We start from the raw sequence: 18294 nt of genomic DNA, 5'->3' as shown, positions 1-18294 counted from the left end.
GATTCCTCCACCTGCCATTATGCATTAGAAGGAATAAAATGGTTCCAGATGCTGCAGTTGCCTGATGTGTTGGATTTAGAGCTGGTATAAGGGTCATGTCAATCGGTGCTGGGCTTCCTGCCCCTCTTAGGGGTTCCAACTGGCAGCCTCTCTCAAGGAGACCCAGAAAGCTCTCTCCTAGCATCTCCAGAGAGCCTGGGAGCTGAGAGTTGGAGGAGCAAAAGGAATCTTTATATCCCAAAAGGGGAGATTATTAAAGAAGATTCATTCATTCTTTCTGTTTTTTTTTTTTTTTTTTGAGATGGAGTCTTGCTTTTGTCACCCAGGCTGGAGTGCAGTGGCACAATCTTGGCTTACTGCAACCTCAGCCTCCAGGTTTAAGCAATTCTCTGCTTACTGCAACCTCTGCCTCCCAGGTTTATTCTCCTGCCTCAGCCTCCTGAGTAGCTGGGATTATAGGTGCCTGCTAGCACGCCCAGCTAATTTTTGTATTTTTAGTAGAGATGGGGTTTCACCATGTTGGCCAGGCTGGTCTCAAACTCCTGACCTCAAGTGATCCGCCCATCTCGGCCTCCCAAAGTGCTGGGATTACAGGCGTGAGCCACCATGCCCGGTCCCAAAGATTCATTCTTTAATAATGAATGAGATACAGGTAATAATAATGAGAACAAATCTGTTTGTAGCCTCGGGGGATTGTGACCCTTCCCTAAGGGCTCAGACAGGTAAAGTCTTATGTTATAGTGCAGAATCACATCGCTTCTCCCTCCCCAAAATCCATTTTATTTATTTATGTATTTATTTTGAGATGGAGTCTCGCTCTGTTGCCCAGGCTGGAGTGCAGTGGCTCGATCTCGGCTCACTGCAAGCTCCACCTCCTGGGTTCATGCCATTCTCCTGCCTCAGCCTCCAGAGTAGCTGGGACTACAGGCGCCTGCCGCCACGCCCGGCTAATTTTTTTTTTTTACCCCAAATCCATTTTAAATGGTAACAGAGGTATGGAATAGTATACAAATCTTTCCATAACACACAAACTCCTCTAAGGCCCCATGTGAGGTGGCCACATCAAGCAAGAAGAAACTAGGAGAGGAAACTACTGTCCCTTTTAAGAAGGAATGGGCAAAGAGAAAAAATAGCTCATTCTGTTTATTTTATTTGAGAGGACTCAGGTGAACACTTTGAAACACTGAGACTACAAACCACACACACACACACACACACACACACACACACACACACACAAATGCCCACAAGGATTCAGTAGTTGAGAAAAAAAGGACTGAACAAAGACTGGGGTTTCACAAGCAGAGCATCAGATGTCACAGCAGACACCATGCTGGGAAAGCACAAGAGGCAAAGAAATAAGAAACCTTTACAAAATCACAAATTAAAGAATATTGCTATAGCCCATAATTTCCTCCACAAAATGCACTCAAGTGTAACTGAAAATTTTAAATGATCCCTTCAGAACCTTAATGATGATAAGAATTGCTAATTTGGGAGCAGAGAACAGAGTAGGTTGAAGAGCATATGCTGTGGAGGGCAGGGCCAAGTTACCAGTTCCCACACCCCAGCCTAAGAGAAGGGATAAAGCAAGCATCATTTTAAGCCATGCCTTGGCAAAATAATAAACTAATGCATGTAATGAGCCTCCTGACCTATCTCGTTAGTTGAAACCCTGTGAATGCAAAAAGCTGGAGAGTAAACTCTGGTCAGAGAAGACAGGTAAAGCCTTTTCTGACTAGCCATTTAAAAAATAAAACAGGCTGGGCGCGGTGGCTCACACCTGTAATCCCAGCACTTTGGGAGGGCAAAGCAGGCAGATCACTTGAGACCAGCCTAGCCAACATGGTGAAACCCCATCTCTACTAAAAATACAAATATTAGCCGAGTGTGGTGGTGGGCACCTGTAATCCCAGCTACTCAGGAGGGAGAGGCAGGAGAATTTCCTGAACCTGGGAGGGGGAGGTTGCAGTGAGCTGAGATCACACCACTGCACTCCAAACTGTGCAACAAAGCTAGACTACCGTCTCAAAATAATAATAATTACCTCTCCCTCCCCCTGCCCCTCCCTCTGCCTCTCCCTCTTTGCACGGTCTCCCTCTGATGCCAAGCCAAGGCTGGACTGGGTCTCCCTCTGATGCCGAGCCGAGGCTGGACTGTACTGCCGTCATCTCGGCACACTGCAACCTCCCTGCCTGATTCTCCTGCCTCAGCCTGCCGAGTGCCTGGGATTGCAGGCGTGCGCCGCCACACCTGACTGGTTTTCGTATTTTTTGGTGGAGACGGGGTTTCGCCGTGTTGGCCGGGCTGGTCTCCAGCTCCTGACCAGGAGTGATCTGCCAGCCTCAGCCTCCCGAGGTGCCGGGATTGCAGACGGAGTCTCGCTCACTCAGTGCTCAACGTTGCCCAGGCTGGAGTGCAGTGGTGTGATCTCCGCTCGCTACAACCTCCACCTCCCAGCCGCCTGCCTTGGCCTCCCAAAGTGCCGAGATTGCAGCCTCTGCCCGGCCGCCACCCCGTCTAGGAAGTGAGGAGCGTCTCTGCCTGGCCGCCCATCGTCTGGGATGTGAGGAGCCCCTCTGCCCAGCGGCGCAGTCTGTGAAGTGAGGATTGCCTCTTCCCGGCCGTCATCCCATCTAGGAAGTGAGGAGCGTCTCTGCCCGGCTGCCCATGGTCTGGGATGTGGGGAGTGCCTCTGCCCCGCCGCCCCGTCTGAGATGTGAAGAGCGCCTCTGCCCGGCCGCGACCCCGTGTGGGAACTGAGGAGTGTCTCTGCCCCGCCGCCACCTCGTCTGGGAGGTGAGGAGCGTCTCTGACCGGCCGCCCCGTCTGAGAAGTGAGGAGCCCCTCCACCCGGCAGCCGCCCCGTCTGGGAAGTGAGGAGCCCCTCTGCCCGGCAGCCGCCCTGTCCGGGAAGTGAGGAGCATCTCCGCCCCGCAGCTGCCCCGCCCGGGAGGTGGGGGGCAGCCCCCACCCGGCCAGCCACCCCGTCCGGGAGGAGGGGGGCAGCCCCCGCCCGGCCAGCCGCCCCGTCCGGGAGGTGGGGGGCAGCCCCCGCCCGGCCGCCGCCCCATCTGGGAGGTGGGGGGCGCCTCTGCCCAGCCGCCCCGTCTGGGAGGTGAGGAGCCCCTCTGCCCGGCCGCCACCCCATCTGGGAGGTGGGGGGCCCCTCTGCCCGGCCACCCCGTCTGGGAAGTAAGGAGCCCCTCTGCCCGGCCGCCGCCCCGTCTGGGAGGTGGGGGGCCCCTCTGCCCGGCCGCCCCGTCTGGGAAGTGAGGAGCCCCTCTGCCCATCCACCACCCCGTCTGGGAGGTGTACCCAACAGCTCATTGAGAACGGGCCATGATGACAATGGCGGTTTTGTCGAATAGAAAAGGGGGAAATGTGGGGAAAAGAAAGAAAGATCGGATTGTTATTGTGTCTGTGTAGAAAGAAGTAGACATAGGAGACTCCATTTTGTTCTGTACTAGGAAAAGTTCTTCTGCCTTGGGATGCTGTTGATCTATAACCTTACCCCCAACCCCGTGCTCTCTGAAACATGTGCTGTGTCCACTAAGGGTTAAATGGATTAAGGGCGGTGCAAGATGTGCTTTGTTAAACAGATGCTTGAAGGCAGCATACTCGTTAAGAGTCATCACCACTCCCTAATCTCAAGTACCCAGGGACACAAACACTGCGGAAGGCGGCAGGGCCCTCTGCCTAGGAAAACCAGAGACCTTTGTTCACATGTTTATCTGCTGACCCTCCCTCCACTATTGTCCTATGACCCTGCCAAATCCCCCTCTCCGAGAAACACCCAAGAATGATCAATAAATACTAAAAAAAATAAAATAAAATAAAAAAATAAAAAATAAAAAAATAAAAAAAAATAAAAAGAGAAATCCAAAAAAAGTTAGATATCTTTTAAAAATATAATAATAATAATTAAAATAATAATAATAATAAATAAAACAATAGGCCAGGCACGGTGGCTCATGCCTGTAATCCCAGCACTTTGGGATGCCAAGGTGGGGGAATCACCTGAAGTCAGCAGTTTGAGACCAGCCTGGACAACATGATGAAACCCTGTTTCCACTAAAAATACAAAAATTAGCCAGGTGTGTGGCAGGCGCCTGTAATACCATCTACTTGGGAGGGTGAGGCCAGAGAATAGCGTGAACCCGGGAGGTGGAGGTTGCAGCGAGCCAAGATAACACCACTGCACTCCAGACTGAGGGACACAGCAAGACTCTGTCTCAAAATAAATACATACATACATAGATACATAAAAAAAAAAATAAACTTTTTCCATAGGGTGATATAAAATTCAAAGAAAATATGTATCTATCTGGGGCCACGCTGTAATGGTGCTTCCTGATGGGTGAAAAGGAACAATGAAAAGAGGAGTTGCTAAAACACAGTACAAAGTCTCTAAGCTAGAAGAGCATTTTTAGAGCAGTGGCTCTCTCAAGATCCTACACTCCACAATGTCACCATCAAGGAAAAAAAATCTCATCCTTGCCTTTTCTCATGTCCATCACGGATTCTGTACCTAAAGAGTATACCTAAGAATCTCAGGCTACTCCTCTCCATACCATTGCCACTATCTGGTCTGGATTCCTACACCAACTTCCACATAGTCTCTCTGCCTCCTAACTTGCTTCCTCTCCAACCCACAATGCAGACAGTGTGAGCTTTCTGAATTTGACCATGTGAGTCTTCACCCACCCAGGATCTTTTAAGACACTACACCTATCCCTTTTGCACTTAGGATAAAAATCTGAAATGCTTAAAGGTTCTTTTGATTGCTCACCTCTAGCCTTCTCTCTGACCACCAACTACCTCCTGCCAACCACCTCCACCCACACAGCTTCTGCTCGATGGTCTCCAGCCTCAAAATCGCAGTGCTCTCACAGGTCTCTGGGCCTTTGCTGATGCTCTCTCCTTCTTTCCCCACCTCTTAATCCAACAGTTACGAATGACTTAATTCTAATTCATGTTCTCAGGTTTCAGTTTAATGGTTATTCCTCCAGAAAGCCTTCTCTAGGTTCCTTTCTCTTCATTCCAGTGTGCCCAACATTACCACACTGCAGTGCCTATCAGTAAAGCTGCAGAGAGAAAGGCAATGGCTGCTGCTGTCTCTAATTATAATTACTGTTTGAGAAACTACATTCAAAACTAGACGTATCTAAAGTACATAAAATTCAGGCTGGGCGCAGTGACCCATGCCTGTAATCCCAGAACTTTGGGAGGCCGAGGCGGGTGGATCACTTGAGGTCAGGAGTTCGAGACCAGCCTAGCAAACATGGTGAAACCCTGTCTCTACTAAAACTACAAAATTAGCCAGGTGTGGTGGTGGGCACCTGTAATCCCAGCTAGTAAGGAGGCTGAGGCAGGAGAATCGCTGCAACCTGGGAGGTGGAGGCTGCACTGAGCCAAGATCACGCCACTGCATACCAGCCTGGGCAACAAGAGTGAAACTCCATCTCAAAAAAAAAAAAAAAAAACCCTCAAATTCAAGCAAATACATCCTGTTTCTGTATTCTAAATTGTATCAAAAGCCACTGGAAGGCCAGGTGCAGTGGCTCACAGTTGTAATCTCAGCACTTTGGGAGGCTGAGGTGGGTGGATTACTCGAGGTCAGGAGTTTCAGACCAGCCTGGCTAACATGGTGAAACCCCATCTCTACTAAAAATACAAAATTAGCTGGGCATGGTGGTGGGGGTCTGTAATCTCAGCTACTCGGGAGGCTGAGGCAGGAGAATCACTTGAACCCAGGAGGCGGAGGCTGCAGCGAGCGGAGATCGCGCCACTGCACTGCAGCCTGGGCGACAGATCAAGACTCAGTCTCAAAAAAAAAAAAAAAAAATTAGCCAGGTATGGTGGCTCACACCTGTAATCCCAGCTTCTCGGGAGGCTGAGGCAGGAAGAATCACTTGAACCTGGGAGGCAGAGGTTGCAGTGGGCCGAGATCACGCCACTGTACTCCAGCCTGGGCAACAGAGTGAGATTCCATCTCAAAAAAAAGAAAAAAAGAAAAAAGACCACTGGAAGACTTCAGAAGATAACAATTCAAAGAATACTTAACCACCTTCCCTTCAGGAGGGTTGGCAGAACAACTATTGCCTACAGCCCCAGTCCCAAGTCTGTGGTGAGCCCTGCTAGAGAGGAACCCCATTGTATTCCCAGTCATGTCCAAGGCCATCTAACAACTACTCCAGTCACTCCTGCAGGAGCACTGGGTCCAGCCCATCAGCAATGCTTATTATCCTTCTTCCGCTATTTAGTCACCTTGCGAACATAAACTAATTCAGTCATCAAACAACTATATTAAGGAGATCATGCTCTAATTGTTCCCATTTTACAGATGAGGACATTTACCTCACAAAGCCCTAAGGAGTAAAGATAAGATTTGATTCCAGGTGGTTGATTTGTCTACAAGGTCCATGCTCTAAGCCACCACACTGCACTACTTCCCCTCTACTCCCATTTCCCTGAAAGCTATGTGGGAACAAAATAGAGAGTTCAGATCCACACATGTACTATACCTTGGTTTACAACAAAGGGTACAATAAAAATGCAATGCAAAGTCCTAGATAAATTAGATAACCATACTGGGGCAGAGGGGGATGAACCTTGACCCCTATCTCACATCATACAAAAATCAATTCCAGATGGATTACAAACCTAAACGATGGATTCCAAAACCAAACTCCTATCTGCTCCCCATCTGTACCTCCCCCACAATCTTCCCAAGCTCAGAAAATGGCATCTTCCAGTTTATCAGTCCAAATACCATGGAATTCATCCTTAATTTCTCTCATACAATCTATATCCATTTGACCAACAAATCCTATTAGCTCTATCTTCAAAACATATCCTGAATCCAACTACTTTCACCACCTCCACCAAGCTATCATCGCCTCTTACTTAGATTTCTGCATTATCTTCCTAGCTGGTTTCCCTACTTTATCCCTTATCCCCCATACAGGCAATTACCTCCATATCAGCCAGAATAAGCTTTTAAAAGTCAGATTGTGTCACTCCTCTGCCCAAACTCTCCAACAGCTCTTGCTATTCCACTTGCCTACAATATTTTTTCCCTAGACAACCACCTGGCTAGCCCACTTACTTCCCTCAGGTGCAGTGGCTCACATCTGTAATTCCATCACTTGGAAGGCTGAGGTGGGAGTACAAGTTAAGGCCAGGAGTTCAAGACTAGCCTGGGCAACAGAGCAAGACCCCACCTCTACCCCAAAAATTATTTATTTATTCATTTGTTTATTTTTCAGGCAGCCTTCCAAGCCACAGTAGGCTTGGAGATTCCCTATTATTTATTTATTTATTTATTTTGAGGCAGAGTCTCCTTCTGTCACCCAAGCCAGAGTGTAACAGCACAATCTTGGCTCACTGCAACCTCCACTCCCAGGTTCAAGCAATTCTCCCGCCTCAGTCTCCCAAGTAGCTAGGATTACAGGTACCTACCACCATGTTCAGCTAATCTTTGTATTTTTTAGTAGAGGCGGGGTTTCACCTTGTTGGCCAGGCTGATCTCAAACTCCCAACTTCAAGTGATCCACCTGCCTCGGCCTCCCAAAGTGCTGGGATTACAGGTGTGAGCCACTGCATCCAGCCTATTTATTTATTTTCTGAGACAAAGTCTCACTCTGTCACCCAGGCTGGAGTGCAGTGGCACAAAGTTGACTCACTACAGCCTCAACCTCCTGGCTCAAGTGATCCTCCCACCTCAGCCTCCTAAGCAACTGGGACTACAGGTGCTTGACACCATGCCTGGCTTTTTTTTTTTTTTTTTTTTGTAGTAGTAATGAGGTCTTCACTATGTTGCCTAGGCTGGTCTCAAACTCCTGACCTCAACTGATCCTCCTGCCTCAGTGTCCCAAAGTGGTCGGATTACAGGCATAAGCCACTAGGCCCAGCCTCTCTACAAAAAGTTTTTTAAAAATTAGCTGGAGTGGTGGTATGCACCTGTAGTCCTAGGTACTTGGAGGCTAAGACAGGTGGATCCTTTCAGCCCAGGAGTTCAAGGCTACAGTGAGCTCTGTCTCTAAAAAGGAAGCACCACCCCAGACTTTACCTACTCTCCCTTTCTTCATAACACTTATACCTTCTGACATATTGTTTATATACTTGTTTACCATTTATCTCTACCTACTAAAATGAAAATCCCATGAGGAGAGGCATTTTTGTTCCCCATTCCCAATGCCCACGACAATGCCTGGCAAACAGCAGGTGCTCAATAATTATTATTGAATGACTGGATGAATGTATCTCTTTCCCCTGCTGCTCTCGCACACTGTTATTGCTTTCCTAATGCCCCCTGGTCTGTTTGAGACTTGCCATTGTTTTAGGCAGTGATACTCATGGGGCTACACAGCTTTTTAAGCAACTTCGACTCCAAGCCGACTCTTAACTACCAGGTACCTAACTAACAAGAAATTAATTTCCACTAACACATTTGACAAAGTCTATTCTGATAGTCCTATAGATCATATGGTGATCTGTGGGCTGGAGAGTAGTCACGTAGATTCACAGACAGATGAATAACCTTATTCACTGAATGATAATGGTTCATCTAAAGGGAGATCTTTACCAAAGTGCCACTAAGTTCTATTCTCAGTTTTATCCTATTCCATTTTTTCCCCATGATGTGGATAGTCAGTAGTCTGACGGAATTCATTATCTAAGCAAAATGAAAGCACATGCCCCACAAAGACTTGTACATGAATGTTCATAGTGGTCTTATTTGTAATTGAAAACAAAAATAAAAAAACAATGCCCTGGGCCAAAAAAATAAGAAAGAAAACAAAGCTGGGTGTGGTGGCTCACGTCTTTAATCCCAGCATTTTGGGATGCAAAGGCAGGCGGATCACTTGAGGTCAGGAGTTCAAGACCAGCCTGGCCAACATGGTGAAACCGCGTCTCTATTAAAAATACAAAAACTTAGCTGGGCATGGTGGCAGGCGCCTACAATCCTGGCAACTCAGGGGGCTGAGGCAGAGGTTGCAGTAAGCCGAGATCGCACCACTGCACTCCAGCCTGGCGACAGGGCAAGACTCTTTCTCGAAAAAAAAAACAACAAAAAAACAAAAAAACACATGAAATGGATAAACAAATTGGGATACATATCCATAAAGTGGAATACTACTGAGTAATGAAAGGGAATGAGCTATTCAAACATACAAGAATGAATCTCTGGCTGGGTGTGGTGGCAAATGCCTGTAATCCTAGCACTTTGGGAGGCCGAGGAGGGCAGATTATCTGATGTCGGGAGTTCAAGATCAGCCTGGCCAACATGGTGAAACCCCGTCTCTACTAAAAAATATAAAAAATTAGCCCGGGCGCGGTGGCTCACGTCTGTAATCCCAGCACTTTGGGAGGCTGAGGTGGGCGGATCACGAGGTCACAAGTTCGAGACCAGCCTAACCAACATGGTGAAACCCCATCTCTACTAAAAATACAAAAATTAGCAGGGCGTGGTGGCACGTGCGTGTAACCCCAGCTACTCAGAAGGCTGAGGCAGGAGAATTCCTTGAACCCCTGAGGCAGAGGTTGCAGTGAGCCAAGATCACGCTATTGCACTCCAGCCTGGGGGACATAGCGAGACTCCCTCTCAAAAAAAAAAAAAAAGCCGGGCGCAGTGGTTCATGCCTGTAATCTCAGCACTTTGGGAGGCTGAGGCGGGTGGATCACAAGGTCAGGAGTTCAAGACCAGCCTGGCCAAAATGGTGAAACCTCCTTTCTACTAAAGATAAAAAAAAAATTAGCCAGGCATGGTGATTAGTTAGGAAATACATTTATTTTAAAAATCGTGTTCATAACAGTACTCTTAATTTCAGTTCTTCTATTCCATATCTGTATCTCCTCTGCCCCACAGTGAGAACCTTGTTTCCAACAGCATCAATACATTTACTTATTTGCCCAGTCCTACAATATACTCAAAATAGGTGGGTTTTGTTTTTGTTTTTGTTTTTTTGAGATGGAGTCTCACTGTCACTGAGGCTGGAGTACAGTGGCGTGATCTTGGCTCACTGCAACCTCCGCCTCCTGGGTTCAAGCGATTCTCCTGTCCCAGCCACCCGAATTGCTGGGATTACAGGTGCATGCCACCACACTCGGCTAATTTTTGTATTTTTAGTAGAGACAGGGTTTCACGATATTGGTCAGGCTTGTCTCTGACTCCTGACCTCACGTGATCTATGCGCCTTGGCCTCCCAAAGTACTGAGATTACAGGCGTGAGCCACCGCACCCAGCCTCAAAATAGTTTCAAATAGTTTCATTACAAACAATAAATCTAAGTAAAGATCAAGGTTTTACTTTATTTTTTTGAGACAGAGTCTCACTCTGTCACCAAGGCTGGAGTGCAGTGGCATGATCACAGCTCACTGCAGTCTTGACCTCCCAGACTCAATGAGTCTTCCTGCCTCAGCCTCCTGAGTAGCTTGGACTACAGCTGTACACCATGCCTGGATAATTTTTAAATTTTTTGTAGTGATGGAGTCTCATTATTTTGTTCAGGCCAGTCTTGAACTCCTGGGCTCAAGGGATTCTCCTGCCTTGGACTCCCAAAGTGCTAAGATCATAGGTGTAAGCCATTGTGGCCAGCTCTAAGATTTTTCTTTTTTACAGTACTTTTTTCCATATAATATGTCCCACTGAAGCTATATAGACAAGAGTACTATATTAAAAGTTACTTGGGGCCAGGTGCGGTGGCTCACGCCTGTAATCTCAGCACTTTGGGAGGCCGAAGCAGGCGGATCACAAGGTCAGGAGTTCAAGACCAGCCTGGCCAGCATGGTGAAACCCCGTCTCTACTAAAAATATACTAAAAATACAAAAATTAGCCAGGCATGGTAGCAGGTGCCCATAGTCAGTCCCAGCTACTTGGGAGGCTGAGGCAGGATAATCACTGGAACCCAGGAGGTGGAGGTTGCAGTGATCCGAGATCACGCCACTGCACTCCAGCCTGGGTGACGGTGAGGCTCCGTCTCAAAAAAAATAAAAAATAAAAAAGTTACTTGGGGCCAGGCACAGTAGCTCATGCCTGTAATCCCATCACTTTAGGAGGCTGAGGCGGGTGGATCACTTCAGGCCAGGAGTTTGAGACTAGCCCGGTCAACATTGTGAAATCCCATTTCTACTATCTGGTTGTTGCAAAAGTAATCGCGGTTTTTGCCCTTTTTTTTTTTTTTTTGGTAAAAAATACAAAAATTAGCTGGGTGTGGTGGGGTACACCTACAATCTCAGCAATCTCAGCTACTCAGGAGGCTGAGGCAGGAGAATTGCTTGAACCTGGGAGACAGAGGCTGTAGTAAGCCAAGACTGAGCCACTGCACTCCAGCCTGGGTGACAGAGCATGAGACTCTGTCCCAAAAAAAAGAAAAGAAAAGAAAAGCTACTTGGATTATTTTTTTTCACATTTTTCCCACCTTTATTCAGGTTTGATTGTATACTATTTATATAAAACTAATAAAAATCAAGATAATGATCATGTGTCACCCCTGAAAGTTTTTCTTATGCCGCTTTAAAGTCCTTCTCTCCTCTCTCTGCCCCTAATCCTATCCCTAGAAAAGCACTAAGCTGCTTTCTGTCATTAAGGATTGGTTTGTATTTTCTAGACTTTTAATATAAATGGAATCACATGATGTATTCTCTCTTGCTCTCTCACTCTCTTTTGGAAAAACTCTAAAACCATGTTTTTCCTCTGCTCTCACACCACTACAACAACAATCATCACCACAGAAGACTTCTAGTGACCAAATGTGTGGAGATTTCTCCCCACCACCAAGCGACCAATTAATTCTGCAGTAGGTATCAGCTAGGTGTCCTCCAAATCAATTCTAACACTATCTACCTGGAAATTATGTCAGATAGTGTCAGATCCATTTAAGTGCTCAGTCACAAGACTGCCCCCCGACGCACACCAGTTGATAGGCTTCATGTTGGGGTTCCCATGAAGCCCTCTTTGGGTTCAATTAATTTGCTGGAACCACTCACAGAACTCAGAGAAATGTTTACTGGTTTATTATAAAGGATACAGATGAGGAGATGCTAGGGTAAGGGATGGGGGAAGGGGTGCAGAGCTTCCATACCCTCCCTTTGTGTGACACCCTCCAGAAACCTCCGCATGTTCAGCTATCCATAAGCTCTCCAAACTCAGTCCTCTAGGGTTTTTTGTTTGTTGGAGACAGAGTCTCGCTCTGTCACCCAGGCTATAGTGCAGTGGTACAATCTTGGCTCACTGCAGTCTCTGCCCCCTGGGTTCAAGCAATTCTCCTGCCTCAGCCTCCCGAGTAGCTGGGATTACAGGCGTGCACCACCATGCCCAGCTAATTTTTGTATTTTTTAGTAGAGACAGGGTTTCACCATATTGACCAGGCTGGTCTCGAACTCCTGGCCTCAGGTGATCCTCCCTCCTCAGCCTCCCAAAAGTGCTGTGATCCCCAAGTGCTGGGATTACAGGCGTGAGCCACCGCACCCATCCCCTCTAGGATTTTTATGGAAGCTTCATGTCAGTATTACTTCCCCCAGCGTATGAGTGGGACCCTCTCTGGAATGAGGGTCTTATGACCCATAATTAGAAAGGAGGGTTTGGAATTTTAGAGTCCTGCCTTGGGGCAGGTAAAAGGATGGCAGGAGTAGGTCAGAGAGATTCTGTTTCCTGAGGTCTCCCCCTGAGGCCTAACACATGCACCATTATAACAAAAGACTGTAACAAAGACTATGGGAGTTATAAGCCAAATATATATATATATATATATACACACACACACACACACACACACACACATATATATATACACACATATATATATATATACACACACACATATATATATATATATCATGGGTATTTTAGGCTTAATACCACATTCTTTCTCATTCTCTCTCTCACTCTCTTGCTCTTTTTCTTTCTCTCTCTCTCAGGAGTTCTGGCTTTCACTCAGCATAATTATTTTGATATTCATTCTTTTTTTTTTTTTTTTGAGACAAAGTCTCGCTCTGTAGCCCAGGCTGGAGTGCAGTGGCGTGATCTCGGCTCACCGCAACCTCCGCCTCCCAGGTTTAAGCGAATCTCCTGCCTCAGCCTCCAGAGTACCTGGGATTACAGGTGAGCACCACTGCATTCTGTCACCCAGGCTGGAGTGCAATGGCACGATCTCGGCTCGCTGCAACCACTGCCTCACGAGTTCAAGCGATCCTCGTTCTTCAGCCTCCCAAGTAGCTGAGACTACAGACATGGGCCACCATACCCAGCTAAGTTTTGTATTTTTAGTAGAGATGGGGTTTCTCCATGTTGGCCAGGCTGGTCTCTAACTCCTGACCTCAGGTGAACCACCTGCCTTGGCCTCCCAAGGTGCTGGAGTTACAGGCATGAGCCACCGCGCCCAGCCAAAATAGCTTATTTCATCTCAAAAAACGTATGTGAATTTTGATTTCTATGTCATAATTTTCATTATTAAAAACATTTAAATTCCTTACCAGTTAAAGTACCGAACCTCCTAACCTTGACACCACTTCACCAATCTTCCAGTAAAACTGACATTCTAACAAGTTTGTCAAGTTCATCCTAAAGCTCCATAAACTCCCAGTTACCCCCAACCACAAATGGAGGAACTAAGTTTGGAAATAAAACTCTTTGGCAAGCAGTCATTCTTAGAATAATCAGTAAGTTACTTATGTCTGTAGTTTCTGACCTGGACTTTGATTTGTTATAAAATTCTTGAGAAAAGCCCTAGGTTTTGTGGGGTTTTTTTTTTTTTTTTTTTTTTTTGAAATGAAGTCTTGCTCTTGTCCCCCAGGCTGGAGTGCAATAGCGCAATCTCGGCTCACTGTAACCTCCGCCTCCTGGGTTCAAGCAACTCTCCTGTCTCAGCCTCCCAAGTAGCTGGGATTACAGGCGCCTGCCACCACGCCCGGCTAATTTTTGTATTTTTAGTAGAAATGGGGTTTCACCATGTTGGCCAGGCTGGTCTCGAACTCCTGACCTCAACTGATCCGCCTGCCTTGGCCTCCCAAAGTGTTGGGATTATAGGCGTGAGCCACTGCACCCTGGCAAGAAAAGCCCTACTCTTGTCTTAGCTGAACATGGCTGTCCACAACGTAGGCCAAACAATTTGGATGAGCAGTGTGTTCTCAGAAGAAAAGGATGGTGGTGGCTCAGGATACCTTCTTGGAGAACCAAAGACCAAGGAAACCCAGCACAGGTAATAAAGTAAAAGCACTGGAGGAAAAGAACTGGGACATCCGGTTTTTCCTTGCAAATATTCACATACGAAAAAGGGTAGCCTAAAAGAAATGCAAGTGGTAGTGGGAAGGGGAATCTCATTATTAACTAAGATTTTACATATATCTAGAAAATAGCTGAAATTTTGGAGTGAAACTAGGAACTGGATCCATAAATCTGAATGAATAAGAAACATGAAGCTCTTGTTAAACAAAGAAAACATATTAAATTCTAAGAGTCTCCTTTACCCTCCAATCTTTAGTGCATATTCAAGCCCAGGTTTCTTCTTGTTATTTTTCTCCCATGTTTCTCTGCTGCAGGAGGACAAGAAACTACTTTGGAGAAATAATATTAGGATTTTTGCCATTTGTACAGACTGAAAGACCCTTGGACATCTCTCTTGGTCTGGGCTCCCTATCACGGACAGTTGACAGAGCCATCAACCATTAAGTAAGAGTCTACTGCAGGCTTAAAGAGTGAAGTAAGGCCGGGAGCGGTGGCTCACGCCTGTAATTCCAGCACTTTGGGAGGCCGAGGTGGGTGGATCACTTGAGGTCAGGAGTTTGAGACCAGCCCAGCCAACATGGTGAAACCCGTCTCTACTAAAAATACAAAAATTAGCTGGGCATGGTGACGCACACCTGTAGTCTCAGCTACCTGGGAGGCTAAGGTGGGAGGACCACCTGACCCTGGGGTGCTGCAGTGAGTCGTGATCACGCCACTGCACTCCAGCCTGGGTGATCCTGGGTGAGACCCTGTCTCAAAAAAAAAAAAAAGAAGACTGAATGAATGAAAGAAAGAAAAACTATTATATAAGGAAAGCCAATCCCAGAGGTATCACATTTTGAACCCCTACCTTTAATAACAACAGACCCTAAACGTGTTAACACCCAACTTTCCCTACCATTCTGAAAGAACAGAGAAAGCTAAGGACAGATATCAGGAGAAAAGAAAAAGAGGGGGATGAAAAACCAAATCCAAAATGTCTCACAACATGTCATGGGTCCTTTAACATGTTATAAACAAAAAACACTACCTTCTCCTCACTTGAAGGTTGGTTTGAAGACAAAGTCATGGTGCTGTTCTCCAACAGCCAAACCTCCGTGTTCTATAATAACCAGTTCTTGCACTACTATCCCACTACTCAACATACAAAGGTCAGTATCAAGGAGGAAACAATGGCCTGACTTATTGTACCAAAGCCAAAAATATCTTTCACTCCCCCATCCACTCCCTATCCTGTTCATCCCACCTTTGTAAAAGATCTCATGATCTTCCTGGGCTTTTACCCATCCCTCTTCAATCTGCCCTACAAATCCAGTAAGTCACCAAGTCCTATAAAATCCAGTGCAACAAGTCTGACCATTTACTCCTCTTGTGTGATCGACTGACACAAACAGTTCTAATCCTCATTACCCTTTCCCATAGAGTTCTACTACAGACCTAACTGATCCTCCCTGTCTACAGGCCATGTCTTTGATACAGTGCTAGAGTACCATTCCTGAAGTCAAAGGTCTGATGGATGCTCCTCAGTAAAAGGGCCCATCGGCCAGGCACGGTGGCTCATGTCTGTAAGCCCAGCACTTTGGGAGGCTGAGGCGTGTGGATTAATTGAGTTCATGTGTTTGAGACCAGCCTGGCCAACATGGTAAAACTCTGTCTCTACTGAAAATACAAAAAATCAGCAGGATGTGGTGGCGCGTGCCTGTAGTCCCAGCTACTCAGGAGGCTGAGGCAGGAGAATCGCTTGAACCTGGGAGGTGAAGGTTGCAGTGAGCCAAGATTGTGCCACCAGCCTGGATGACAGAGCGAGACTCCGTCAAAAAAAAAAAAAAAAAAAAAAAAAAAAAAAGCGCCCATCAATTCCATGTTGCCTATAAAACAAATTCTAAACTACTCCATGATCTAACCATAGGTCATCTCTCCAGTCTCACTCTGGTGATTACCCCTCTTGTGTCCAGTGCATTAACAAATAAGACGGCTCATCATTCCTTAGCATTTGCCATACTTTCCCTTCTACTTTGCCTTATACCTCCTGTTACTTCTAACTGTCCTTCCACCTCTGCTCAACAATAATTAACAATCACCTTCTTCCCTCAAAGCAGAAACTAGGAAAGAAAGCAAACACATCACAGGAAAGGCGATTATAAGAATCTATGGTCTCAGAAGCAGCATTGGTTTGAAAAAGGAGCAATGCCTTGAAGACCAAAAGTCCAGCTTTGCCAATTTCTTGCTAAGTTATACTGAGTAAGCCACTCACCTTTCTGAGCCCCAGTTTCCCCATCTGTAAAATGTATCTACCCTACCTAACATACAAGATTATCCAGACAATTAAGTATGGGCCGGGCACAGTGGTTCATGCCTGTAATCCCAGCACTTTGGGAGGCCAAGGCAGGAGGATCACCTGAAGTCAGGAGTTTGAGACCAGCCTGGCCAACATGGTGAAACTCTGTCTCTACTAAATACAAAAACTTAGCCAGGCATAGTGGTGCATGCCTGTAATTCCAGCTACTACTCGGGAGGCTGAGGTGGGAGAACTGCTTGAACTCAGGAGGTGGAGGTTGCAGTGAGCTGAGATCATGCCACTGCACTCCAGCCTGGGCAAAAGAGCAAGACTCCATCTCAAAAAAAAAAAAAAAAAAAAAAGAAAAAGAAAAAAGAAAGACAATTAAGTATGATAAAGTGTGTCAAAATGCTTATGGGGGGATGGAGCTAAAGCTTACAGGGAAAATTATACCTTTAAATGCTTATATAGAAAAAAAATCTAAAAATTAATGAGCTACGCACATTCTTAAGAAGTTTGAAAGAAAGCTTTAAATATTTACGTAGAAAAACATCTGAAAATTAATAAGCTACGCGCATTCCTAAGAAGTCTAAAAGAAAGGCAAAATAAACCCAAAAGAAACAGAAAATTAGAAAGTAGAAATTACAAAGAAAACAAACACAATACACCAAACCCAAAAGACAGTTTTTTGAAAAGAATAAGATTGTTCACATGCTTGTGTAAACTATGACAAACAATATAAAAGTAAGCTGTGGTTATCCAGTAGAGATGAAACTTCAAATAAAAAGGGCTGAAGTGGCCGGGCACAGTGGCTCACGCCTGTAATGCCAGCACTTTGGGAGGCCGAGACGGACGGATCACGACGTCAGGAGATCAAGACCATTCTGGCTAACACGGTGAGACCCCGTCTCTACTAATAATACAAAAAATTAGCCACGCATGGTGGTGGGCGCCTGTAGTCCCAGCTACTCAGGAGGCTGAGGCAGGAGAATGGCGTAAACCTGGGAGGAAGAGGTTGCAGTGAGCCGAGATCGCGCCACTGCACTCCAGCCTGGGCGACAGAGCAAGACTCCATCTCAAAAAAACATAAAAAAAAAAAAAAAGGGGCTGAAGTAAGTTTCTTTTGTGAAATGGTTTCTCAGATCTCAGTACTATTGACATTTGGGACAGATAATTGTTGGGGTGAGCTAGGGGCTCTCCTATGCATTGTAGGATGTTTAATAGCATCCTCAGCCTCTATCCACAAGATGACAGTAGCATCCCCACCCCACCCCCAACAATCCTGACAACCAGTGTCTTCACACATTGTAAACTGTTCCCTAAGAAGCAAAATCATACCAGGTTGAGAACCACTGCTCTAAGAAAACAAAAGGGCCACATCACACTACACCAACTAAAACTAGATTATTCATAGCTATTCTTACTAGTAGAATAGCTAGCTGCTCTGCCCATGACTACGGGATGGCAGCAAGGACAAGACTAAAGAAATAGGCAGGTTTTGGATTTTTCAGGAAAACTGCATAGAGTGCTCAACATGAGAGGAAAAGAAAAGCTTTAGGCCGGGTGTGGATCACGCCTGTAATCCCAGCACTTTGGGAAGCCGAGGCAGGTGAATCACCTGAGGTCAGGAGTTCAAGACCAGCCTGGCCAAAATGGTGAAACCCTGTCTCTACTAAAAATACAAAAATTAGCTGGGCATGGTGGCAGGCACCTGTAATCTCAGCTACTCAGGAGGCTGAGGCAGGAGAATTGCTAGAACCTGGGAGGCGGAGGTTGCAGTGAGCC

At 46.3% G+C, this 18294-nt stretch overlaps 1 protein-coding gene across 6 annotated transcripts in view, besides 1 other annotated feature; it reads right to left on the bottom strand.

The window, feature by feature from the left end:
* The window catches only part of RAD54L2 (RAD54 like 2), a 129942-nt gene that overhangs the window by 57723 nt on the left and 53925 nt on the right, over window positions 1-18294 (bottom strand). The window lies entirely within an intron of this gene.
* Window positions 17264-17467: a silencer, noted in NCBI's record as "fragment chr3:51627487-51627690 (GRCh37/hg19 assembly coordinates)". NCBI's record gives its function as "represses an EF-1alpha promoter that drives an FKBP-Casp9 reporter gene in an ReSE screen in HepG2 liver carcinoma cells {active_cell/tissue: HepG2}" and the evidence as "EXISTENCE:reporter gene assay evidence [ECO:0000049][PMID:32094911]".

The sequence above is a fragment of the Homo sapiens genome, chromosome 3 (assembly GCF_000001405.40).
Source record: "Homo sapiens chromosome 3, GRCh38.p14 Primary Assembly".
NCBI lineage: Eukaryota > Metazoa > Chordata > Mammalia > Primates > Hominidae > Homo > Homo sapiens.
The sequence above is the reverse complement of the archived record's forward strand: the minus strand, read 5'-3'. Positions and strand labels throughout refer to the sequence as shown.